Source organism: Homo sapiens, chromosome 16 (genome assembly GCF_000001405.40).
Source record: "Homo sapiens chromosome 16, GRCh38.p14 Primary Assembly".
In the NCBI taxonomy this organism is placed as follows: domain Eukaryota; kingdom Metazoa; phylum Chordata; class Mammalia; order Primates; family Hominidae; genus Homo; species Homo sapiens.
In genome coordinates this window covers 51290840-51292000 of record NC_000016.10, presented here as the reverse complement: position 1 = coordinate 51292000, position 1161 = coordinate 51290840, and the positions used below count along the sequence as shown (strand labels likewise).

Below are 1161 nucleotides of genomic sequence, written 5' to 3'. Positions count from 1 at the left end.
GAGGACATGAGGAGAATTAGTTCAGACCCTCATCTTTCTTATTAGGAAGCTGACAAACACTGTTCAGAATTCATAGACCAAGAAGTAGAGTTGTGTGCATTGCATGTGGACATTTGAAATCAACTTGGAGAAACTAAAAATAGAAACAATCAAATATGGTTCCTCTGTGGAGTAGATAGAGTATAAAAGGTAGGGAAAAGGGATGCTTTTCTTTTCCACTTTACACCCATATTTCCCCCCTCAGATCCACCTTTGGAGAAGAAAAACGTTGCCCCAGCTGTTGGGCTACTGCCTACAGTACTAGACAGTCCTCAGCTATCAGCCTTCTTCAGATAGTGCCTCAGCTAAAGAAAGCTGCCTCGCCCAAGTCCCTTCCTTCTAGAGGTAGTCTACATAAGATATTTAGTCTAGAGCAGTGATGTAAAGTCCTGGTTTCCTCACTCAACTAAGGACCATTCTGAAGAGCCAGCCCAGCTTCAGAGGTCCCCATGGAATCACTGCATTACTGTGACAGCATCACAGCCCAGCCACTCCCTCAGCCCCAATTCTGCTTCCGCATTTTCCCTCACAGGCGTCGATCTCAAGAGTCTTCCTTTATAAACTTCCCACTTGATAATCTCTATCTCAGAGTCTGCTTCCTAAAGGACCCAATTTGGGATAGACCTGTTTTACACTAACTTTTTAAAAAAACCATTCCTAAATTAATTTTATAAATGTAAGCACAGAGCTATGTGCATGCTTTTATTGATTTGTTTTCTTCTAGAATAAAGGTTCATTTAAAATCTGAGGAAAGATAAACTTTATTTTGAGAAAAATGCTCTAAGAGGCTGTCTGCTTATGCAGAGTGGCACCAACTTTCCCCATCTATGATGCAGAGGTTGAAGGCACTGGTGAGCTAAGCTGCTTTGCATTGTAATAGAAAAGATTGCATTCTTGAAGCACAGCTGGCCTTGCATTCTCTCAGCGTACCTTAGCGGAGTATCTTTCAACTGCAGGGCTTGTTGGTGAGGGTATTTTGGTTTGTTTTATTTTTAACTGACACAAAATTGTACATATTTATGGGATACAAAGTGATATTCTAAACTCAATTGGGAAGGTCACACCCAAGGTCTCTTCTTAAAAGAATAAGGGTGTGTTGCTATTCTGTCCAAATAGAGGAAC

The 1161-nt window shown here is 41.1% G+C and overlaps 1 annotated feature.

Annotated features, from left to right (window-relative positions):
- Nucleotides 651-1161: an enhancer, noted in NCBI's record as "OCT4-NANOG hESC enhancer chr16:51324751-51325261 (GRCh37/hg19 assembly coordinates)". NCBI's record gives its function as "activates a minimal SCP1, AML or CMV promoter by ChIP-STARR-seq in naive H9 embryonic stem cells {active_cell/tissue: H9 hESC(naive)}" and the evidence as "EXISTENCE:reporter gene assay evidence [ECO:0000049][PMID:30033119]".